Here is a 21,858-nt window from a genome sequence, read left to right on the forward strand (position 1 = left end):
AACCACAATGGCATACCATCTCACACCAGTCAGTATGGTTATTATTAAGAAGTCAACGCCGGGCATGGTGGCTCACGCCTATAATCCCAGCACTTCAGGAGGCCAAGGCAGGCAGATCGCATGAGGTCAGGAGTTCCAGACCAGCCTGGACAACCTGGCGAAACCCCGTCTCTACTAAAAATACAAAAATTAGCCCAGCGTGGTGGCGGGTGCCTGTAATCCCAGCTACTCAGGATGCTGAGGCAGGAGAATCGCCTGAACCCGGGAGGCAGAGGTTGTAGTGAGCCGAGATCATACCACTGCACTCTCCAGCTTAGGTGACAGAGCGAGACTCTGTCTCAAAAAAAAAAAAAAAAATATTTGAATTTTGTTTAAATCGCTAACACATACTGGGCATTTAATAACAAAAAAAAAGGACATGAGATTGTGATCCTTATGAAGGTTTGAGAGGCATTTCACTAGGGTTCAACATACAGCAGTCTGAAACATACTGTAATAATTTAATCCAATGGCTCATCTACAGCACCTAAAAAGATTACAGCAGATTCTCATTATTCAGTGTAGTTACGGTCTAGAAAGTTCCATGAACAAATAAAAAGTTAGGTTTCAGCAAGCTACTGGTCACACTTTTGTAAGCTTACCAACACCTACTTTTGTTGTATGTGTGCTTATTTAATATATATTGTTGGCCAGGCACAGTGGCTAACGCCTGTAATCCCAGCACTTTGGGAAGCCAAGGCGGGCAGATCATTTGAGGTCTGGAGTTCGAGACCAGCCTGGCCAACGTGGTGAAACCCCGTCTCTACTAAAACTACAAAAAAAAAAAAAAAAAATTAGCCAGGCATGGTGGCGCATGCCTGTAGTCTTAGCTACTTGGGAGGCGAAGGCAGGGGAATCGCTTGAACCCAGGAGGCAGAGGTTGCAGTGAGCCAAGACTGCACCACTGCACTCCAGCCTGAGCAACAGAGTGAGACTCTATCTCAAAAAAAATAATAATAATAATTAATTAAATGAAGAATAAATAAATAATATACATTGTTCATTCATTAACATTGAACTCACAGCCAACGGCACTACAGCACTCACGCCTGAATGGAGTTTATTTAATGCATGTATTTTCTCTGTAAGACACATCACAGACTTCTTGGACTTGTGAATGCTAAGCAGCACTTCAGCACTATGCTTGGGGGTTAATTTAAATGGCAAAACAACCAACAAACAGTACAAAAACAGGAAAAGCATGGCATTAAATAGACCACAAAAAGGATACCTGACTATTGTATGAGAGCTGAAAAAGAAGGCAGAATATCATCCTGTTCAAACTCAAATTCTTTGACACTCTGCGCAAACACATGACTATGAAAGTGCTGTGAGTACTGATTTGGGGGTTACAAAAAATAGTAGGTGAGTTCACAAATACAAAAGCTGAAAACAAGGAGGATCGACTGTATTTTCGTAGACAATCTAATCTCAGAAGATTTCAGTTCAGACAAAAATCATGATAATTACTGTATTACAAAAGGGCACTAGATAGGGGGGAAAGAGTAAAAATCACAATTAAAACAAAGGTTCAAAATTCTGCAGCAACCATATCCAGTTACACTTTAATATGTTTGCGGCAGACTACATTATTGTTCCCAACTCATCACCCCTCCCTATATCTAAAACCTTTCCCCAAGACAATGCAGTTCCTCCTGCTAGAGATCAGGTATATTTATCTATACTATCAATGTTAGCCATGGACAAGGTATGTGCTTTGGCTGACTGAATGTTAGTGGACATGAGAGAAGCAATGGCTTAAAATGTACTTCCAGAACTGGAGTTTCCTTGTGATTCTATCACTGTGACAGAAACACATTCTCAGGTAGTCCACTGATCCAAGGGGGAACAAACACACAGAAAACATACCTAGACTCTATCTGCAGCTTGCAGCCTCACCAAGCCAACAACAGTCAACTCACAGATATGTTAGCAAAAATAAATGTTTTTCGTACCTTAAGTTTTACATAATTATTGACCTGCAGTTAACTGATATACAATATACATTAATCTTAAAATATCAGTATCCCATTAAAAATATTTACATTAAAAACTGAGACCACTTTCTTTCCTCCTTTTTTTTTTTTTTTTTTTTTTAAATTAAGAGACAGGGTGTCTCAATGTTGCCCAAGCTGGAGTTCAGTGGCTAGTGGCTATTCACAAGAACGATCATCGCACACTACCTCAAACTCCTGGGATCAAGCAATCCTCCTGCCTCAGCTTTCCAAGTCGCTGGGACTATAAGTGTGTACCACAGCATGTCAGCTCTCTCTCTCCTTCTTGACCTAAAGCCTAGCATAAAATTAGCTAAGTAGAATGTTTCCAAAGATGCCTGCATCAGTATCTCCCATCCCACATAATTTCTGTTTGATTTTGCCATTCACCCATAAAATGGTGGGATCTACCTCCCCTCCTTGCAAATTTGAGCTGGCCCTCTGATCCTGTCTAAGATCTGAAGCCAGATATTAAGGTACTTCATTAATTTCCATGTTTGTCCTCTATGCAACCTAGCAATCAAGCAAGAAGTCAAAACATACTGACATAGTTTGGATGGGTCCCCACCCAAATCTCACCTTGCATTGTAATAATTCCCACGTGTCAAGGGTGGGGCCGGGTGCAGATAACTGAATCATGGGGATGGTTCCCCCCATACTGTTCTCGCGGTAGTGACTAAGTCTCATGAGATCTGATGGTTTTATAAATGGGAGCTCCCCTGCACATGCTCTCTCCTGCCTGCCACTATGTGAGACATGCTTTTGCACCTCCTTGCCTTCCACCATGACTGTGAGGCCTCCCCAGCCATGCAGAACTGTGAGTCAATTCAACCTCTTTCCTTTATAAATTACCCAGTCTCAGGTATGTCTTTATTTGCAGTGTGAGAACAGACTAATACAATAAGTTGATACCAGTAGAGTGGGGTGCTGCTGTAAAGATACCCGAAAATGTGGAAGCAACTTTGGAAATGGGTAACAGGGAGAGGCTGGAACAGTTTGGAAGGCTCAGAAGAGGATAGGAAAATGTGGGAAAGTTTGGAACTTCCTAGAGACTTGTTGAATGGCTTTGACCAAAATGTTAATAGTGATATGGACAACAAGGTCCAGGCGGAGGTGGTCTCAGAGGCAGATGAGGAATTTGTTGGGAAATGGAGTAAAGTCACTCTTACTATGCAAAGACACTGCAGGCATTGTGCACCTGTATTAGAAACGGGCATAAGATAGGCGGGAAAGAGGGAAAATAAGAATTTTTTTCTAGAGTTCCCTACAGATCTGTGGAACTTTGAACTTGAGAGAGATGATTTAAGGTATCTGACAGAAGAAATTTCTAAGCAGCAAAGCATTCGAGAAGAAGCAGAGCATAAAAGTTCAGAAAATTTGTAGCCTGATGATGCAACAGAAAAGAAAAATCTATTTTCTCAGGAGACTGGGTTGTAGAAATTTGCATAAGTAATGAGGAGCCAAATGTTAATCACCAAGACAATGGGGCAAATGTCTCCAGGGCATGTTAGAGACCCTCACAGCAGACCCTCCCATCACAGGCCAGGAGGCTTAGAAGGAAAAATGGTTTTGTGGGTCCAGAACCCCCTGCTGTGTGCAGCCTAGGAACTTGGGGCCCTGCATCCCAGCTGCTCCTGCCATAGGTAAAAGGGGCCAAGGTACACCTCAGGCCATGGCTTCAGAGGGTGCAAGTTCCAAGCCTTTCAGGTTCTAGGTGGTGTTAAGCCTGCAGATGCACCGAAGTCAAGCATTAACGTTCATGAACCTCTGCCTACATTTCAGAAGATGTATGAAAATGCCTGGAAATCCAGGCAAAAGTTTGCTGTGGGGGGGAGGGGAGGGGAGGGGGGGCCCTCATGGATAACCTCTGCTAGGGCAGTGTCAAAGGGAAATATGGGGTTGGAGCTTCCACACAGAGTCCCCACTGGGGTACTGCCAAGCAGAGCTGTGAGAAAAGGGCCACCATCCTCCAGACCCCAGAATGGTAGATCCACTGACAGCTTGCACTGTGTGCCTGGAAAAGCTGCAGACACTCAATGCAGCCAGAAGGGGGGCTGTACCCTGCAAAGCCACAGGGGCGGGGCTGCCCAAGACCCTGGGAACCCACTTCTTGCATCACCTAGATGTGACACATGGAGTCAAAGGAGGTCATTTTGGAGCTTTAAGATTTGCCTGCTGGGTTTTGGACTTGCATGGGGCCTGTAGCTCTTTCGCTTTGGCCAATTTCTCCCATTTGAAACGAGTGTATCTACCCAATGCCTGTATCCCTGTGTATCTAGAAAATAACTAACTTGCTTTTGATTTTACAGGCTCATAGGTGGAAGGGACTTGCCTTGTCTCAGATGAGACTTTGGACTATGGAATTTTGAGTTAATGCTGAAATAAGAGTTTGGGGGACTTAGGGGAAGGCACGATTGCTTTTGAAATATGAGGACATGAGATTTGGGAGGGGCCGGGGAAGAATTATATGGTTTGGCTCTGTCCGCACCCAAATCTCATCTTGAATTGTAACAATTCCCATGTGTCAAGGGTGGGGCCAGGTGGAGATAACTGAATCATGGAGGCAGTTTCCCCCATGCTGTTCTCATGGTAGTGAATAAGTCTCATGAGGTCTGATGGTTTTATAAATGGATGTTCCCCTGCACATGCTCTCTCCTGCCCACCATGTCTGACTAAATTTTGTATTTTTACTAGAGACGGGCTTTCACTATGTTGGCCAGGCTGGCCTCCAACTCCTGATCTCGTGATCCGTCCACCCCGACCTCCCAAAGTGCTAGGATCATAGGCATAAGCCACCACACCCGGCCTCTTTTTTTTCTTTTTCTTTTTTTTATCTGGAGACTGAGTTTTGCACTCGTTGCCCAGGCTGGAGTGCAATGGTGCGATCTCAGCTCACTGCAGTCTCCACCTCAGCAGGAGAGCAGGAATCTTCAGTGATCCACGGGCAAATATGCAGCCATTGTGGGCACCTGTTCCTCCCGCGACCTTTGTGCCCACGTCTCTCCCTCCAGTACCTACTGCACGACCCCCCACGTCCGCCTCCTGCCATTGCCAGCAGGTGCCTTGCGCCGGTACCTGGCTGCGCTTATTCATCCATTATGGTCGCTCTGTCACTGGTGCCATTATGTGCTCACATGCCCACTCCCTCAGGTTTAGAAGTCGCGTTGCCCGGCAACAGAACAATCTGCTGGCTTAGCCTTTGGCCAAGTTGGCAGCTGGACGAGGACGCTCAGAGCCCAGCTCTTGAGAGTTCAAGTATCCGACAGTTCCCCACTGCTCCCAGGAGCGGTTACCCGGGCACTCTGTGCCCCTCATTCCTGTTTGGGCCAAGGCCGAGGACCTGCGAGTAGGGCTCAGTTGCCTGGAGCCCCTTCAGCCCATCCCCCAGTTCACTTTGCTTGTGGGATCTCCCCGTTGCTCCTGCCCCTGGACTGAGTGGCAGGCCATCCTACAAACACCCGCACACTCGACATCAGTGGTGTCAAGACAACTCTAAGAAGGTTTTCCGTGATCCTGCAAGACCTGTGTTCCATCCTGGTGATTCTGTCTTCAATTTCACTGCACAGGTACCACAGTAAGCCAGTGCTGTGTGCTCCGAGTTCCAGGGCATCCCCCAGCTCAGCCACTACACTGAGCACAAGGACTCTGTGGGGCCCAGGAGCAGGTAGTCACCCCTTTGGGGTCCACAACACCCGGCTGTCCCCAGACTTGTGTCCAGGGAAGATAGTGTTGAGGGCCCTCAAGGAGAGCGGGGCAGGGATGCCTGAGCAGGACAAGGACCCCAGAGTCCAAGAAAATCCTGATGATCAGAGAACGGTCCCCGAGGTCACCGGGGATGCACGGTCTGCATTTTGGCCCCTGCGGGACAATGGAGGCCCCTCTCCCTTTGTGCCCAGGCCCGGGCCTCTGCAGACAGACCTCCACGCCCAGAGCTCAGAAATCAGATATAACCACACATCCCAGACATCCTGGACGAGCTCGAGCACCAAACGAAATGCCATCTCCAGCTCCTACAGCTCCACGGGAGGCTTGCCGGGGCTAAAGCAGAGGAGGGGGCCAGCCTCATCCCGCTGCCAGCTGACCCTCAGTTACTCAAAGACAGTGAGTGAGGACAGGCCTCAGGCTGTCTCTTCGGGTCACACACGGTGTGAAAAGGGGGCAGATACAGCACCAGGGCAGACAATCGCCCCAACGGGTGGCTCCCCCAGATCCCAGGACTCTAGGCCCCGTAGACGCAAGATTCCCCTGCTGCCACGCAGGCGAGGGGAGCCTTTGATGCTGCCACCTCCCTTAGAGCTGGGGTACCGGGTCACGGCTGAAGACCTGCACCTGGAAAAAGAGACGGCATTCCAGCGCATCAACAGTGCACTGCACGTTGAGGACAAGGCCATCCCGGACTGCAGACCCTCACGGCCTTCCCACACTTTGTCCTCACTTGCAACAGGGACTTCGGGTGGGCCTCCCGTTTCTAAAGCACCCACTATGGATGCACAGCAGGACAGACCCAAGTCCCAAGACTGCCTGGGCCTACTGGCCCCCCTAGCATCTGCTGCAGAGGTCTCCTCTACAGCTCCCGTGTCTGGGAAGAAGCACAGACCACCAGGACCCCTGTTCTCCTCCTCAGATCCCCTTCCTGCCACCTCTTCCCACTCCGGGGACTCAGCCCAGGACACCTCGCTGATTCCTGCCCCCTTCACACCTGCAAGCAGGGATGCCGGCATCAGAAGAATGTTTCGTGTTCGAAATTGTTTGAGGGGTTTGGGTTTATTTTTGTTGGTTTTTTCTTTTTTTTTTTTGCTTACGTGGGCATCCTTCAGCTTTTAATAATCTGAAAAATTCTATTTACCCATTGTCAATGTGTATAAATTAATCTCAGTCAATTTTATACAATAAAGGGTGAACTTTTATCCATCAAACAATAATTTAACAAAAAATGTACCGGAAGAAGAATGTTCATTACAAATATAGGAAACATAAATATTACCAAATATTGGCAAGCACTGAAATGTTCAGAAATATAAGTCTATTACAGTTATAGCTCTCTCAAGCAAAAAAACAGCAGAGAAAAACTTAGTTTACCTGAGGGGCTATTTATTTACTTAGGGATTTGTTAAAAGGTCAAATGGGGTCACACAGAATACTAAGAAGAGCTGTTCACCCAGGCCTCACTAAGAACTCTTCTTCATGCAGTAGCTATATAGGAATATGACAACTGCTCCTACGACCCAAAGAGGAACTACAGCAACTACTCTTTAGCATCTGTTGCTCCCAACTCTGCTTTGCAATTATATGACTCAAGCATTCTGGCTCCGTTAACTATTACTGCTGTTACTCCCAAGTAAATTCCCTCTAAAAAATAAAAATTTTTAAAGCTGTAATTTAAGCTCTCTGCTGCCTCATGACTTCAATTCCATCAGAGTTACGCATTGTTTCCTCTGTACATCTTTGCTCTGCTTCCATTGCTAATTCCCTAGTAAAGTGTTGTATATTCAAAGTTCCAAAGAAACAGAATATCCAAGACATCACCAATCATCCAAAACACAGTGTAGGAGGCCACAGTTAAGAGAAGCAAGACCATTAGCTCTTTTTATAGGCTCGAGAACAACAGGATGCTTTGGTCCTGTATCAGCAGGACGCTTTTTGGGTAGATCCTACTGCCACCCTACTATCGGGTAGATCCTACTGTCACCCTAGCTATGGGCACATGTCAGAGTCCCATGTAATAAAGGAGACAAAAGGAAACCACCACAAGTATAAACTAAGAAAAGTACTCCAAGGTTTCTAAGAATGGAGCTGTATAACTCACTTTGCCCCGTTTGTTACTTCTCCACGGTACTTACCACCACCTATTACATATATTTTGTTTATAGTCAGTCTTCCCCCATTAGAATGAAAGTTCCGTGAGGATAGGACTATACAGTCAGCCCTCAGTATCCATGGGGGACTGGTTTCAGGATCTCCTGAGGGTAACAAAGGATACTCAAGTCCCTGATATAAAATGACATAGTATTTGCACATCACCTTTGCACATCCTCCCATATACTTCATATCAACTCTAGATCACTCATAATATCCGATGTAAATGTCATGCAAATAGTTATTGTACTATATTGTGTAAGGAATAAGGACAAGAAAAAAGTCTGTACATGTTCAGTACAGACGCAATTTTTTTTTCCAATATTTCCAATCCTTGGTTGCCTTAACGGATGTAGAACCCAGGAATAAGTTCTGGTGTCCTATTGCATAGTAGGATGAGTATAGTTAACAATAACATATTATATATTTGAAAATAGCCAGAAGAGTAGATTTTGAATTTTCTCCCTACAGAAAAATCATTATGCAAATTACCCTGATTTGATCATTACACATTGAGTACATGTATTAAAACATCACATTCTACCCCATATATATGTACAGTTATTATGTGTCCATAAAAATTTAATGTCAATGTGTGAAATAAAATGAAAAAATAAAAATTTTTAAAGCTGTAATTATCTCCATCTGGTAGGAATATATACAATCTGAAATAAAAAATATATTTGTAATTGTTAGGACAAAATAGATTATACATTAAGTCTGCAAATTATAAATTATAAAATTCTCACAGAACCTGAAAAATTATTGATACTGTTAAATATTTAAAAAGCTGTCCTTGGAGAGAAAGAAACCTATCAGATTTACATCAACAAGTGTAATATGTCAGCCTATTACCATCTGCTACAGACTGCATGTTTGTGTTCCCTCAAAATTCATATGATAGGCCCGGCGCGGTGGCTCATGCCTGTAATCCCAGCACTTTGGGAGGCCGAGGCGGGTGGATCATGAGGTCAGGAGATCGAGATCATCCTGGCTAACATGGTAAAACCCCGTCTCTACTGAAAATACAAAAAATTAGCCGGGCGCAGTGGCGGGCGCCTTAGTCCCAGCTACTGAGGAGGCTGACGCAGGAGAATGGCGTGAACCCAGGAGGCGGAGCTTGTAGAGAGCCGAGATTGTGCCACTGCACTCCAGCCTGGGTGACAGACAGAGCGAGACTCTGTCTCAAAAAAAAAAAAAAAAAAAAAAAAATTCATATGATAAAGCCCTAACCCCCAAGGTGAGGATACTGGGAGGCGTGGCCTTTAGGAGAGAATTAGGTTTAGATGAGGTCATGAGAATAGAGCCCCTATGGTGGCATTACTTCCTTTATAAGAGACACTAGAGCTGCTTTTCTCCCTACCATGTGAGGATACCGAGAGAAGATGGCCATTTCCAATCTAGGAAGCAGGCCCTCTTTAAGAAACATAATTTGCCAACACTTTGATCTTGCACTTCCAGTCTGCAGAACTGTGAGAAATATCTGTGTTTTTTTGTTTGTTTGTTTTTGTTTTTTTTGAGACAGAGTCTCATTCTGTCATCCAGGCTGGAGTACAGTGGTGCGATCATGGCTCACTGCAACCTCCGCCTCCCAGGTTCAAGCAATTCTCCCACCTCAGCCTCCCAAGTAGCTCAGACTACAGGCGTGCACCACCACGCCCAGCTAATTTTCGTAGAGACAAGGTTTTGCCATGCTGCCCAGGCTAGTCTCAAACTCCTGAGCTCAAGTTATCCACCTGCCTCGGCCTCCCAAAGTGTTAGGAATACAGGCATAAGCCACCACGCCTGGTCAAAATATCTACTGTTTAAGCTACCTAATTTATGGTATTCTGTTTTAGCAGCTGAAGCAGACTAAGATACCATCCTATAAGCTACAGACCAGCACTATCCAATAGAACTTTATATGACGAGCAAATGTTTTATATCTGTGCTATCCCTTATGTTAGCCACTAGCCACATGTATCCATCAAGTATTTGAAATATGGCTAGTGCAACTAAAGAACTTAATTTTTAATTTTCTTTTTTTTTTTGAGATGGAGTCTCGCTCTGTCCCCCAGGATGGAGTGCAGTGGCGCCATCTCGGCTCACTGCAAACTCTGCCTCCCAGGTTCACGCCATTCTCCTGCCTCAGCCTCCTGAGTAGCTGGGACTGCAGGCGCCCGCCACCACGCCCGGCTAATTTTTTGTATTTTTAATAGAGATGGGGGTTCACCGTCTTAGTAAGGATGGTCTCGATCTCCTGACCTAATGATCTGCCCGCCTCGGCCTCCCAAAGTGCTGGGATTACCGGCGTGAGCCACCACGCCCGGCCAATTTTTATTTTATCTTATTTAAATAACCACATGTGGCTAGTGGCTAATGTATTGAACACTACAGCTGTAGACAATACGAAATAAATATAAAGCAGTCTCAACTTTGGAAAAACAGAAGACTCTTACTGCCTCATAATATAGATGAAAAATGAAATACTAAGATAAGTAAAACGTTCTTTAAAGAACAAAAACAAAAGAAAACCTAATGAAAGCTATAAAAGTCCATTGGATAATAATGCTACCAGTACTAAGGAAGTACAGCCCCTAAGAGTGATTTGCAGTCACAAATATAAAAATGACTATTCAAGTGAACTCCTAAGGTGAAAATTTCTTATTCACCATGCTCCAAAATGGTCTGTAATATTCTTCAGAGATGGCATGGTAAAGTACGATAAAAGGGTAATATTAACAGTATGCTGTCACAGGTGCCATTCTCTTAAAAAAGAAATCCAAAAATAAATATAAATGGAAAGCAAATAATTAATGGAGTTTTGACGGTCAATCAATGGTAAATATTATTGGCATTAGATTTTTCTATTAATTATAGTTTACCTATGATCATGTATTTTTCCATTTAAAAATTACCCTAAAACTTAATGGCTTAAAATAACAAATATGTATGACACAATTCATAGAAGTCAGGGAAATGATGGATTTGGGTAGGTGGTTCTGACTCAAAGTCTCTCATGAGTAAAGGTTGCTGTCATGTTGTTGACCCAGGCAGCATCCCCTGAAGCCTTTAACTTGTGTTGGAAGGTCCGTGTCTTAGTTTGTTTGCACTGTCGCTACAGAATACCATAGACAGGGTAGCTTATAAACAACAGAAACGTTTGTAATGGTACCGGAGGCTGGATGGTGCAAAATCAAGGTGCTTGCAGATTTGGTGTCTGGTCAGAGCCCATTTTTTAGTTCATAGATTACTGTCCTCTAGCTCACATGGCAGAAGGGGCAAGGACGCTTTTTGGGGTCTCTTTTATAAGGGCACTAATCCCCGGCTGGGCACGGTGGCTCACATCTGTAATCCCAGTACTTTGGGAGGCTGAGGCAGGCAGATCACGAGGTCAGGAGTTCCAGACCAGCCTGGCCAGTATGGTGAAACCCCGTCTCTACTAAAAATACAAAAATTAGCCAGGTGTGGTGGTGCGTACCTGTAGTCTCAGCTACTCAGCTACTCAGGAGGCTGAGGCAGAAGAAACACTTGAACCCAGGAGGCAGACGTTGCAGTGAGCTGACATGGCACCACTGCACTCCAGCCTGGGTAACAGAGCAAAACTCTGTCTCAAAAATAAATAAATAAATAAATAAAAATAAAAATAAAAACAAAAAATAATAATCAAGGCACTAATCCCCAACATGAAGACAGACTATCATCTACCAAAAGCTCCACCTCCTACTATCATTACACTGGGGGTTAGGATTTCACAAATTCAGTGCATCATAGTCTGCTTCTAGAATGTTTAATCATTTGGCTGGATATCAGATAGGATGCCTCGGTTCTTCATGTGAGCTTTCTAGAAAAGATAGTTTGGAATTATTTGCATGGTGGCTGGGCTCGTAAAGAGTTGAAGGAGAGAAAGAGAGAGAAACACCAGTAAGGAGCAAATTAGTTCACTCAAAATTAAAACCCTAGCCTTTGTGACCTTGTCTCACAAGGTAACATTCCAATCCTGCGGTGTTTTATTTCTTAGATGGGAGTCACTCAGCTTAGCCTGCCTTCAAGGGGAGGAGTATGAAGCTCCACTTCTTAAACTGAGAAGAATCAACAAATATGTAGATATATATATATTTTTAATAGTATTACAGCTCATGAACCCATTTAAACCCATTTTAGAACTTTAAAGAAATATTTTAAAACGGAATTTTCAATTAAGCAGAAGAAATTGCCAGCTGTGGAACAGTGAACTTTATCGCTGAAATCACACACACATATATACACACACACAGTGCAAACTCATACATGATCAAATCTATAATCTTATTACACAAAGTTTTGTGAGAGGAAAAATGCTTGACTTTTCAAAAGGGCTCATTTATTAAAAATAAAATGACCATTGTGTTCATTTTAGCTGCAACCTTTAAGCAATCAATGACTATATACTTGCTGTAATCATCCTTTAAAATTAGAATTATTGAAAAGCTTTATCACTGATGAATGAAAGAAAGTAATATTGATTTGTGGCCAAGAGAGATAATCTCAGGCAATAAACAGGTGCAGTCTTTGAAGGAATCATTTTATTTTATTACTTTCTGACATTATTGAAGCCAATTTTAAATAAATTCATCATGTTTTTAAATTTAATCACGTATTATTTTATCATACATTAGGTAAAGTTTCAATCTAAGTAACTCCTGGATAAAAAATGAAGTATATCAATTTACAATTACAAATACCCAAATTGTACAGGCATGCATTTTTCAATGACATTTATAAACTGTGTTTTGTTGTTTGTGCCTTGTGTTTGTTTTATTAATCAAATTAATTTATACAGATATATGTATGGAAATGAGACAGATATAACCAGTTCTCTATAAGTAAGCATTATTTAATGGAGTCTTTCCTTTCACTAATGATCATCAGGACAGCTAGGGAAGTGAGTTGAAATTTTCAGGCCATTAGGTTAATAGTTCTAGTAATTCTAGTAATGTTTCGACAGTCATAATATAAATGATACTATGTGGCTTGAATTAATGCATTTTCTTATGTAACAAATAATAAGACAATTTTTAAAAGTGGTAATTACTATTTTTAAATATGACAATTAAAAATAATGAAAGAAAAGAGGTTGTACATTGAGTAGCCATAACATTATCTTTAAACATATTTATTCTTCATTTCCTAACTTTTCCCACCTTTTGGCTAAATCGTATGTTCTTTCTCTAACCTCACTTCTGTTTTATTACTCTCTGGGAAAGATTTTTATATAAAACGTCTAAGCAATCAAACCTAACACAGGATGAATTTCTACACATTACTATACCCTCTGGTCACTATTTTTTTCTTCTCTTTATTGCCCATTTCCCTGTTCTTGAAACATTCCAATTATTTGCCTTCCATGACATTCTACTCTTACTTTTACTTTTCTGTCTCTGATTACTCATTTCCAGTTCCTTTTGTCATCTCCTTGTCTTCCTACACCTGCCAATTAAATTTGAATTTCCTCTGCATTTCATCTTATGTCTCCTTTTCTTCTGCCAAATTCTCTCCTTAGACAAATACAGTCATTCCCATGGTTTTATATCCCACTTATATTCAGGGGCTCTAGAATGTATAGCGCCAGGCCAAATCTATCTTAAGAACTTACTTTACTTAACCAATTACATCTGCATCTGCTCAGGATCATGTAACCCACATCAGCATTTGGCTCTTTTGTAGACCCATTTTTTCTTTTCCTGGAAGTCTATTTTGACACCTACTTTCTGTCACTACCCACGTTTTAGCATTTAGCCTTGTCAATTTACTCTCATCCATATGTAACTCTATCCATTTTCTTCTCTCTATTATGAACAGCAGTTTGAGCCATCATGACCAATTTTGCAGTATCCCTTCTTAAATTAGCCTCCTGTTTCGCATTGGACATTTTCACCCCCCAGCAATTCCACCGATTTCATTCTCGGAAAAATATAAATGAAGAGTTACATTTTTCAATAGCCATAATCATTAAATTTCCATGTGTAAGAAAATGTTCAGAACAGTATCAGTGCATTTATAATAAAATTTTAAAACTTGACCCACAAATCTCTACTTGTCCTTCTAGTTTTATTTCATTTGTCTCTCGTCAATCTCTACATTCTGATCACCACAATCTTTTAATTCATCTGAAAGCTAAGCTCTCTCTTAATTTACATTCTCTATACTTGCAATTTTGTCTACCTAGAAGTGTCTTCTTCCATCTTTGGATTGTTATTGCAAATCCATTGAATAGTTCTCATCTGAATTGTTTCTTCCTTGGGATGACTTATAAACACTTCATCCTACAGCCAAATCAGAAGACCAATATCAAAATCTTTCATCACATCCTAAATTTGCTTATATGTAATTATATGGCAAGAATCTCTTTGTCTTTATAATCATTATTCACTTATCTATGTTTTTTAAAAACTCTTCTAGGTGGTGATGCTAAGCTCCGTAATGTTGGGCTTGTTACCTGTCTCAACTATCTTCCACACCTACCACAGTACCTGCTACATAGATGTATTCAATATATATTTTTAGAATTAGTAAATGATGAGCAAGCGTGTACTTTTGTTCTCTTTCATTACAGTGTTAGAAATGCTATTACAGCATTAGAAAAGATAATCAGAAAGAAAATTTAATAGATCATCAGAAAAAATCCCAAGACTTTTAGGCAAATGAGCCTACAAACACAGGTGGAATGGACTTGCAATTTACCAAGAAATAGGTTTGTCATACTTAGAAACCAACTGCATAAACATGTTTTTATCTATTAATAACTTCATTTTCCAAAACGCTCTACTTTATATGAGACGATTCTTGATGGAAATACCATTTGCTTCTAGGCTCGTTGCTTAAACATAAAGTTAAAAATCTTTGTATGACACATAAAATTGTGGTGACTGCTTAACTTTGCAACTATAGTGCTCCTGAAATGCTCATTTAACCAGTCTGTGTTCCAGACCTACAGAACTTAGATGGTGCTAAAATTGCGCAAAAATTGTGTATTTCTTCTACAACTAACTTCTGATAAAAAGGGGGCAGAGAAGGTTAACTCTCTCCCCCTTTAGCTTTATTTGCTTAGTGAATTTCTACAAAACATAATTTAAGTGCTATATTTTTCCAAGGTTTTAATAAGGAAATAAAAACCGCAATAGGTATCTTAAGCAGAAAGTGCATTTCATACATATACAATAGGAAGGGCTAAAATAACTAAAGTAGCTGTGGCATGGAGGAAGGTTTTGAGTTCTTGAATTCAAAGGCACGCAATCATTTCTGCAATCCTGGGTCAAAAAGATGCTCCTGCTATTAAAACTTTAAGCCTCTTATGCCCATGAAACTGGGGATTAGGCACAAGGATATTGAATCCTACCACTTCCACTACTTCTGAACTATTGTCCCCATGATTTCACTTGCCAGAATCAACAATAGCAAGACAGGCTTTGATCTCTTCCATTTTTCTAAGTCTGATTCATATGCAAACAATCGGTAAGTGGTCTAAGCTGCATTCATAAAGCTAGCTCAAGGGAAGCTGCATTGCTTGTTTTGTTTTGTTTTAGTTTTCTAACCTCTTCAAAGAGTGGAACGAAAGTTGAGGAAACCTGTCCAACAGTCTACCACACACCTTCCATGAAAGGTTCCCCAACACCTCCAACAAAATAATGTAAACACATGCTGGAACCTGTATTACTCTCGCACCATAACACTTCCCACACTTCCCACGATACTTTTTCTCTTCATGGGAATATCCTTCCAAAACATGCTGATATCTCCTAAGCATTATTCATCTGTCGAATTTTCCCACCTATTGTAAGGTCTTCCAATTGTTAGGTTCTTAATAAATATATTTTAAATTATTAAAATTCTGAACTAATGGGTAATCAACTGTACAACCCGAATTGCTGATTTGCATACAGCTGAAGTCCCTCCTCAAAACTTCTGTAATACATGAAACTTAGGCAAATGGTTGGGTCATTACCATATATTACTTTATATTTTTATTTATCAGTATATGTGATTACAGTTATGCTTATGTTAATTGATATGTATATGTACATTGTATTATTCTGTTACATAGCACAGCATTTTGTACTCAAAAAGTGACCAATAATAATAAGCTACATACTTTGGGAAGCATTGCAGGCTAGTCGTACAGTTTTGTTTTGTTTTTTTCCCTGCAGCCTGACAACCTTTTTAGTCATTCACTAAACCTCTCTCAGCTTCAGTTTCTTCATCTGCAACATATAGCAAATAATAAAACTTAACTCAGATGGTTCTAGTGTGAAATAATACAGAGTAAATGTGCCACCAAATACAAACCAATGGCTTGATTGACATAACTCACTGTTAATTTTCTTGAAATGATTCAAAGTATTTTCCAGACAAGCACACACTGAGGGAATTCGTCACCACCAAACGAGTCCTATGAGAAATACTCAAAGGTGTCCCAAACACAAAAATGAAAGGTCAACATTCATCATCATCATCAAAACACATGAAAGTAGCAAACTCATAGGTCTTGTAAAACAGTCACACAAAGTAGGACGAGCAATCAAATAGCAACACAACAGATTTCCACCAAACCACAAAGACAAAGAGACACACAGAAAGAAAAACAAAAAACAACAACAAAATAACCCCAAAGAACTTATAAAACAAGTAGAAAACAAACAGCAATATGGCAGAAAGAAAACCTCATGTATTAACATTAACCTTGAATGTAAATGAATTAAACATTCCACTTAAAATATATAGATTGATAGATATTGGGCCAGGTGCAGTTGCTCACACCTGTAATCCCAGCACTTTGGGAGGCCGAGGTGGGTGGATCACGAGGTCAGGAGTTCGAGGCCAGGCTGGCCAACATAGTGAAACCCTATCTCCATTAAAAATACAAAAATTAGCCAGGCGTGGTGGCCGGCACCTGTAATCCCATCTACTTGGGAGGCTGAAGCAGGAGAATCGCTTGAACCTGCAAGACGGAGTTTGCAGTGAGCCAAGATTGCGCCACTGCACTCCACTCTGGATGACAGAGTGAAACTCCATCTAAAAGTAAAAAAAAAAAAAAGAAAGGTAGATTGATGGAACGAACTAAAAAATGATCCAAAAATATTATGCTTACAAGAAACATATAGACACATACAGACTGAAAAGTAAAGACACATACAGATTTAAAGTAAATGGGTGAAAAAAGATACTCCATGTAACGGAGACTAAAAGCAAGCAGGAATAGCTATACTTATATCAAGTAAAACAGAACTTAAATCTAAAACAGTATAACAATGACAAAGGAAGTCATTACATAATGATAAAGGGATCAATTCAGCAAGAGGATATAACAATTCTAAACACATATGCATCCAACACTAGACCACCAAGATTCATCAAATAAATATTACTAGACATAAAAAAGGAATAGACAGCAATACGATAATACTGGGGGACTTTACCATCTCACTCACAGCATTAAATGTTATCATCAAGACAGAAAACAAATAAACCTAAGACTTAAATTCAACCTTAGATGAAATAGACCTAACTGACATTTACAGAAAATACTACCCAGCAACTACAGAATATACATTCTTAATAAAACCGCAATTTCACCCAACAATCCCACTACTGGAGATCTACCCAAAGGAGAACAGATAATTGTATGAAAAAGGTATCTGCACCCATATGTTTATCACAGCACTATTCACAATAGCAATGTGTCCCTCAGTGGATGATTACATTAATAAATCTGGCACATATGCGCTATAGAATACTATTCAGCTATACAAAAGAATAAAATCATGTCTTTTGTAACAACATGGATGTAACTGGTCATTATTTTAAGTGAAACAAATCAGACACAGAAAGACAAATACTGCATGTTCTCACTTATAACTGGACGCTAAATAATGTATACACATGGACATAGAATGTGGAATGATAGACAACAGAGACTTGGAAATTTCAGGAGGGTGGGAGGAGGGGATGATGAGAAATTATGTAATGAGCACAATGTACATTTTTCAGGTGATGTATATTCTAAAACCCTTACTTCAACACTATGTACTTTATGGAGGTAATAAGATTATATTTGTATCCCATAAATTTACATAAATAAAAAATTGCCTTCTGTACTTACTTTAGCCCAGTTATTGTTAGGTTCAACATTCAGCACTTTACTCAAATTTTCTATAGCTTTCTGGACCTTTTTTTGATATTTATATATAGTAGTGTGGCACAGAAGTGCTAATATTTACCAAAATAAAAGTTATATTTTTAATTAAAAATTAATTAAAAGGTTGTAGAATCTCAGGATGGAATGCAGACTGTTACAAATTTATCTAGCTCTATTATGAACCATACAAAATAACTTCAGTGAGGGACTTAAGGGAAAGGGTGCTAGTCAAAGTGATATTGAAAATGAGTGCAGTCTCTTAAGATGAAAGGCAAAAGAAACTTGTACGAAGGCACTTAATTTAGTTGATAAAGATGTTCTTCTACTAAGGGCAGGTTATCAATTCTGGTACAGCTATATACATATACTGGAAGTGAACAATTAACTAAATAGATGTCACAAAGTAAGAGTCAGGATTTTTATTGTTGGAGTGGGGGTTTAGAGATACAGGAAGGCATTGATGCTTGCGGGACTAGGTTAGAGGTAGTGACATCAGTAAGAACCCATGTTTAGCTTAATACAGACATAGATGGTGATATGGTTTACATTTTGTCCCCTCTCAAACCTCTCGTCCAATTGTAATCGCCAGTGTTGAAGGAGGGGTCTAGTGGGAGGGGACTGGATTATGGGGGCAGATTTCCTCCTTGCTGTTCTTGTGATAATGACTTAGTTCTCACACAATCTGGTTGTTTAAAAGTGTGTAGCATCTCCCCCTTAGTTCTCTTCCTCCTTCTCCAGCCATGTAAGATGTGCCTGCTTCCTCTTTGCCTTCTGCTATGACTGTACGTTTTCTGAGGCTTCCCCATCCTTGCTTCCTGTACAGCCTGTGCAACTGTGAGGCAATTAAAGCTCTTTTCTTTATAAATTACCTAGGATCAGGTAGTTCTTTATAACAATGGGATAATGGACTAATATAGATGTTTACATATAGAAATATTTAAAGATATGTGTCTACATATGTGTAAGAATATACACATTGTTTCTTTGCTCTCTCATCTTAGAGAGCTATGAAAAAATTGATACTCCCTTAGCTACAGGCACAGCTAGCACTTAAATATTGATTTCATATATAGAAAGCAGGGCGTCTTTGAAAGTGGCTGATTCTAAGAATGGGGAAGAAAATACACAAGATGAGCCTGGGACATCCTCTAGTGCCAGAAATTATGAAAATACTAACAAAAATCTATTTGTGAGATATGTCAAACAAGCACAGGGGCCAGGTGAAAGGTCTTTCAATTTCTAGAATAATTTTAGCAACACAATACATTAATTGGTAGTATATTTGGATTATACCCAAAAATGTAATTTTCCTTAGTCCATATTGATATCAATAAATGACTGAATAAACAAATGAATGAGATAAAAGAGGTAAATCTCCTCTGCAAATAATTTACATATGTATTCCAACTAAAGGAAGTCAGCTCTTAAAGACATCTTAAGCAATACTGCAACTGAATTAGCTTTCCAAAGATACTGTCACAATTCATCTATTCCAAGACCTATACATTTCATATTTTAATATCTCCTGAAAATATAATGCATTTTACAATTCAGTGGTATGTCTTAGTTTAATTAGCCACAATGCGAATTACTTGCTTAACGGGACATAAAATAGTGCATTATACAATCTATGGGCTCTTGGACTCAAGAAAATACGATAGAAAGGAGTTTATGTTAGAGTCTGCGCACTGACTAAAGATCAGAGCAGAAAGCAGATTCTAGGAACAGTCACATTTGTGGCAGTCACTGGTCTCGGCATGCAACAAAATTCAAAGTAAATAGTGGTAAGGTGGGAAATGGACAAAGCTATGTAGCTAGAATCAGAAGTCCTTGAAATCAAAACATCAAGATTCAAACTATTTAGGGGCAGTGGGGCTGACGTGGTGACCGTGGGCCTGATCAGATAAAACCTTTACAAAGAAACAGTAGCTCTCAGACTCACCTCCTGAGACAGAGTTGTTCTGAGGGGAAAATGGGTAAGTTTCCACAGTAACATACAGTACTTAAACATACAGTAAGATACAGTACTTAAAGCCCTGACCTGTCCAGTTCCCAACACATCTTTCTTGATGGGCACCTAAATGTCACCTTTTGGTTTTATTTTTGTGTTTTTCTCATCTAAGCTCGGAGAGCAAAGCCTGACAGGGTGAGCCCCCAAAGTGTGTTCATGTCTTAAGAGTGTCCAGAAGCCACCTAGGGAGTGTGCAAGTTTTTCATTTTCATGCCAGGGACAATGTCTCTCTTTATTGAGCTAATGGCAAGGTATGGGCCTCAGAATATGTACAGTTTGAACATATTTGCATCTTCCCTTTAATTAACTGTGAAATCTGTGAGGCTAATGAGAAGAAAATTGATGGGTAGTCGGTGGAAGAATTTTTTTTTCATTGTCATATCTTCAACTTTCCTGGGGTATAATAAGAGATGCACAGTCAATTCAGTATACTTGAAATGTGTGATGTGGTCAAATTTGAGATAGATATATATATATATGTATATACTTTTGGAAATATCACTACATTCACAACCATCATTATGAAAAGTTTTCTTGTGCACCTCAGTAATCAGTCTCTCCCTCCATGCTGTCTCCAGGCAGCCATTTGATTTTCCATCAGGTAACATGAGTGAGAAGAAAATGTTTGTTGCAAGCTATTGAAATTTTGTGGTTGTTCACTTTTTAGAAACTCTTTGGAATTTTCTTTCTCATATCTTTATTAACATATAAAGTGTCTGTCTGGCATACTTTCAGATAATGTAAATAATATACTCAGCAATTGTTTTGTGCTGGGCTTCCATTTAATCTTTCAAGATCATATGGATTTTTATAGCTTTATATGTTGTGTTTGGCATCTTAAGCTCACTATCTACCTACTGACTCTTAAATCCCAAACTCTAAAGAGGTTCTGAAGATTCCAAACAATGGCTTGATAGCTTAAAGTAAAAAAAGCTCAGGATAACTCAAATTTTGTGACTTAGCATGCTTGAGAAAGTTTTTTTTTTTTTTGAGACAGAGTCTCACTCAGTCACCCTGGCTGGAGTGCAGTGGCGGGATCTCGGCTTACTGCAAACTCCGCCTCCCGGGTTCACGCCATTCTCCTGCCTCAGCCTCCCGAGTAGATGGGACTAAGGCGCCCGCCACCGTGCCTGGCTAATTTTTTTTTGTATTTTTTAGTAGAGACGGGGTTTCACCGTGTTACCCACGATGGTCTCGATCACCTGACCTCGTGATCTGCCCACCTTGGCCTCCCAAAGTGCTGGGATTACAGGCGTGAGCCACCTCGCCCGGCCTTGAGAAAGTGCATTTAAGCTCCTTCCTAAATGAATGATTATTTAGTCTTGCAGTGTCCATAATTTCTTTAGGTCACTTACGGAAGTCTCAAACTTGTCTGTAACACCTGATAATAACTTCCAGTACTATTCTAAAATGTAGATTTACTTTATCACATTTTCTTCTAACTTCTACTTGCCCCTGTTGTAACAATCTTCATTCTTCTTTTGTACTTATATTTTCTCCTTTTAAAACTCAATATCTAGGTCCTCTCTTATAATTGTGCTTAAAATTCATCCTGCAGTAGTGTCAGAGCAGGGTTTCTCAAAGTCATTGTGGGGAACTATCGTGTACATTGTAAGATGATTAGCAACATCCCTAGCCTCGACCACCAGATGCCAGTAGCACACCCTCTCTTTCACAGTTTTTTTTTTTTTTTAATCAGAAATATCTGCGCACATTGACAAATGTCCACCGGATGGGAAGAAGAATGTGGGGTGTAAAATTCCCATTTTTGAGACCCACTTGCTTAGAATGTATTAAAGACCTAT

The 21,858-nt window shown here is 40.4% G+C and overlaps 2 pseudogenes across 1 annotated transcript in view, besides 2 other annotated features; one reads left to right on the plus strand and one right to left on the minus strand.

The window, feature by feature from the left end:
- Window positions 1–21,858, minus strand: part of GUSBP14 (GUSB pseudogene 14) — a 162,716-nt pseudogene that overhangs the window by 99,855 nt on the left and 41,003 nt on the right. The window lies entirely within an intron of this gene.
- Window positions 5,733–6,422, plus strand: LOC728526 (POM121 membrane glycoprotein (rat) pseudogene; annotated as a pseudogene).
- Window positions 20,684–21,185: an enhancer, noted in NCBI's record as "H3K4me1 hESC enhancer chr5:69543827-69544328 (GRCh37/hg19 assembly coordinates)". NCBI's record gives its function as "activates a minimal SCP1, AML or CMV promoter by ChIP-STARR-seq in primed H9 embryonic stem cells {active_cell/tissue: H9 hESC(primed)}" and the evidence as "EXISTENCE:reporter gene assay evidence [ECO:0000049][PMID:30033119]".
- Window positions 21,186–21,685: an enhancer, noted in NCBI's record as "H3K4me1 hESC enhancer chr5:69544329-69544828 (GRCh37/hg19 assembly coordinates)". NCBI's record gives its function as "activates a minimal SCP1, AML or CMV promoter by ChIP-STARR-seq in primed H9 embryonic stem cells {active_cell/tissue: H9 hESC(primed)}" and the evidence as "EXISTENCE:reporter gene assay evidence [ECO:0000049][PMID:30033119]".

Source organism: Homo sapiens, chromosome 5 (genome assembly GCF_000001405.40).
Source record: "Homo sapiens chromosome 5, GRCh38.p14 Primary Assembly".
Taxonomy (NCBI): Eukaryota; Metazoa; Chordata; class Mammalia; order Primates; family Hominidae; genus Homo; species Homo sapiens.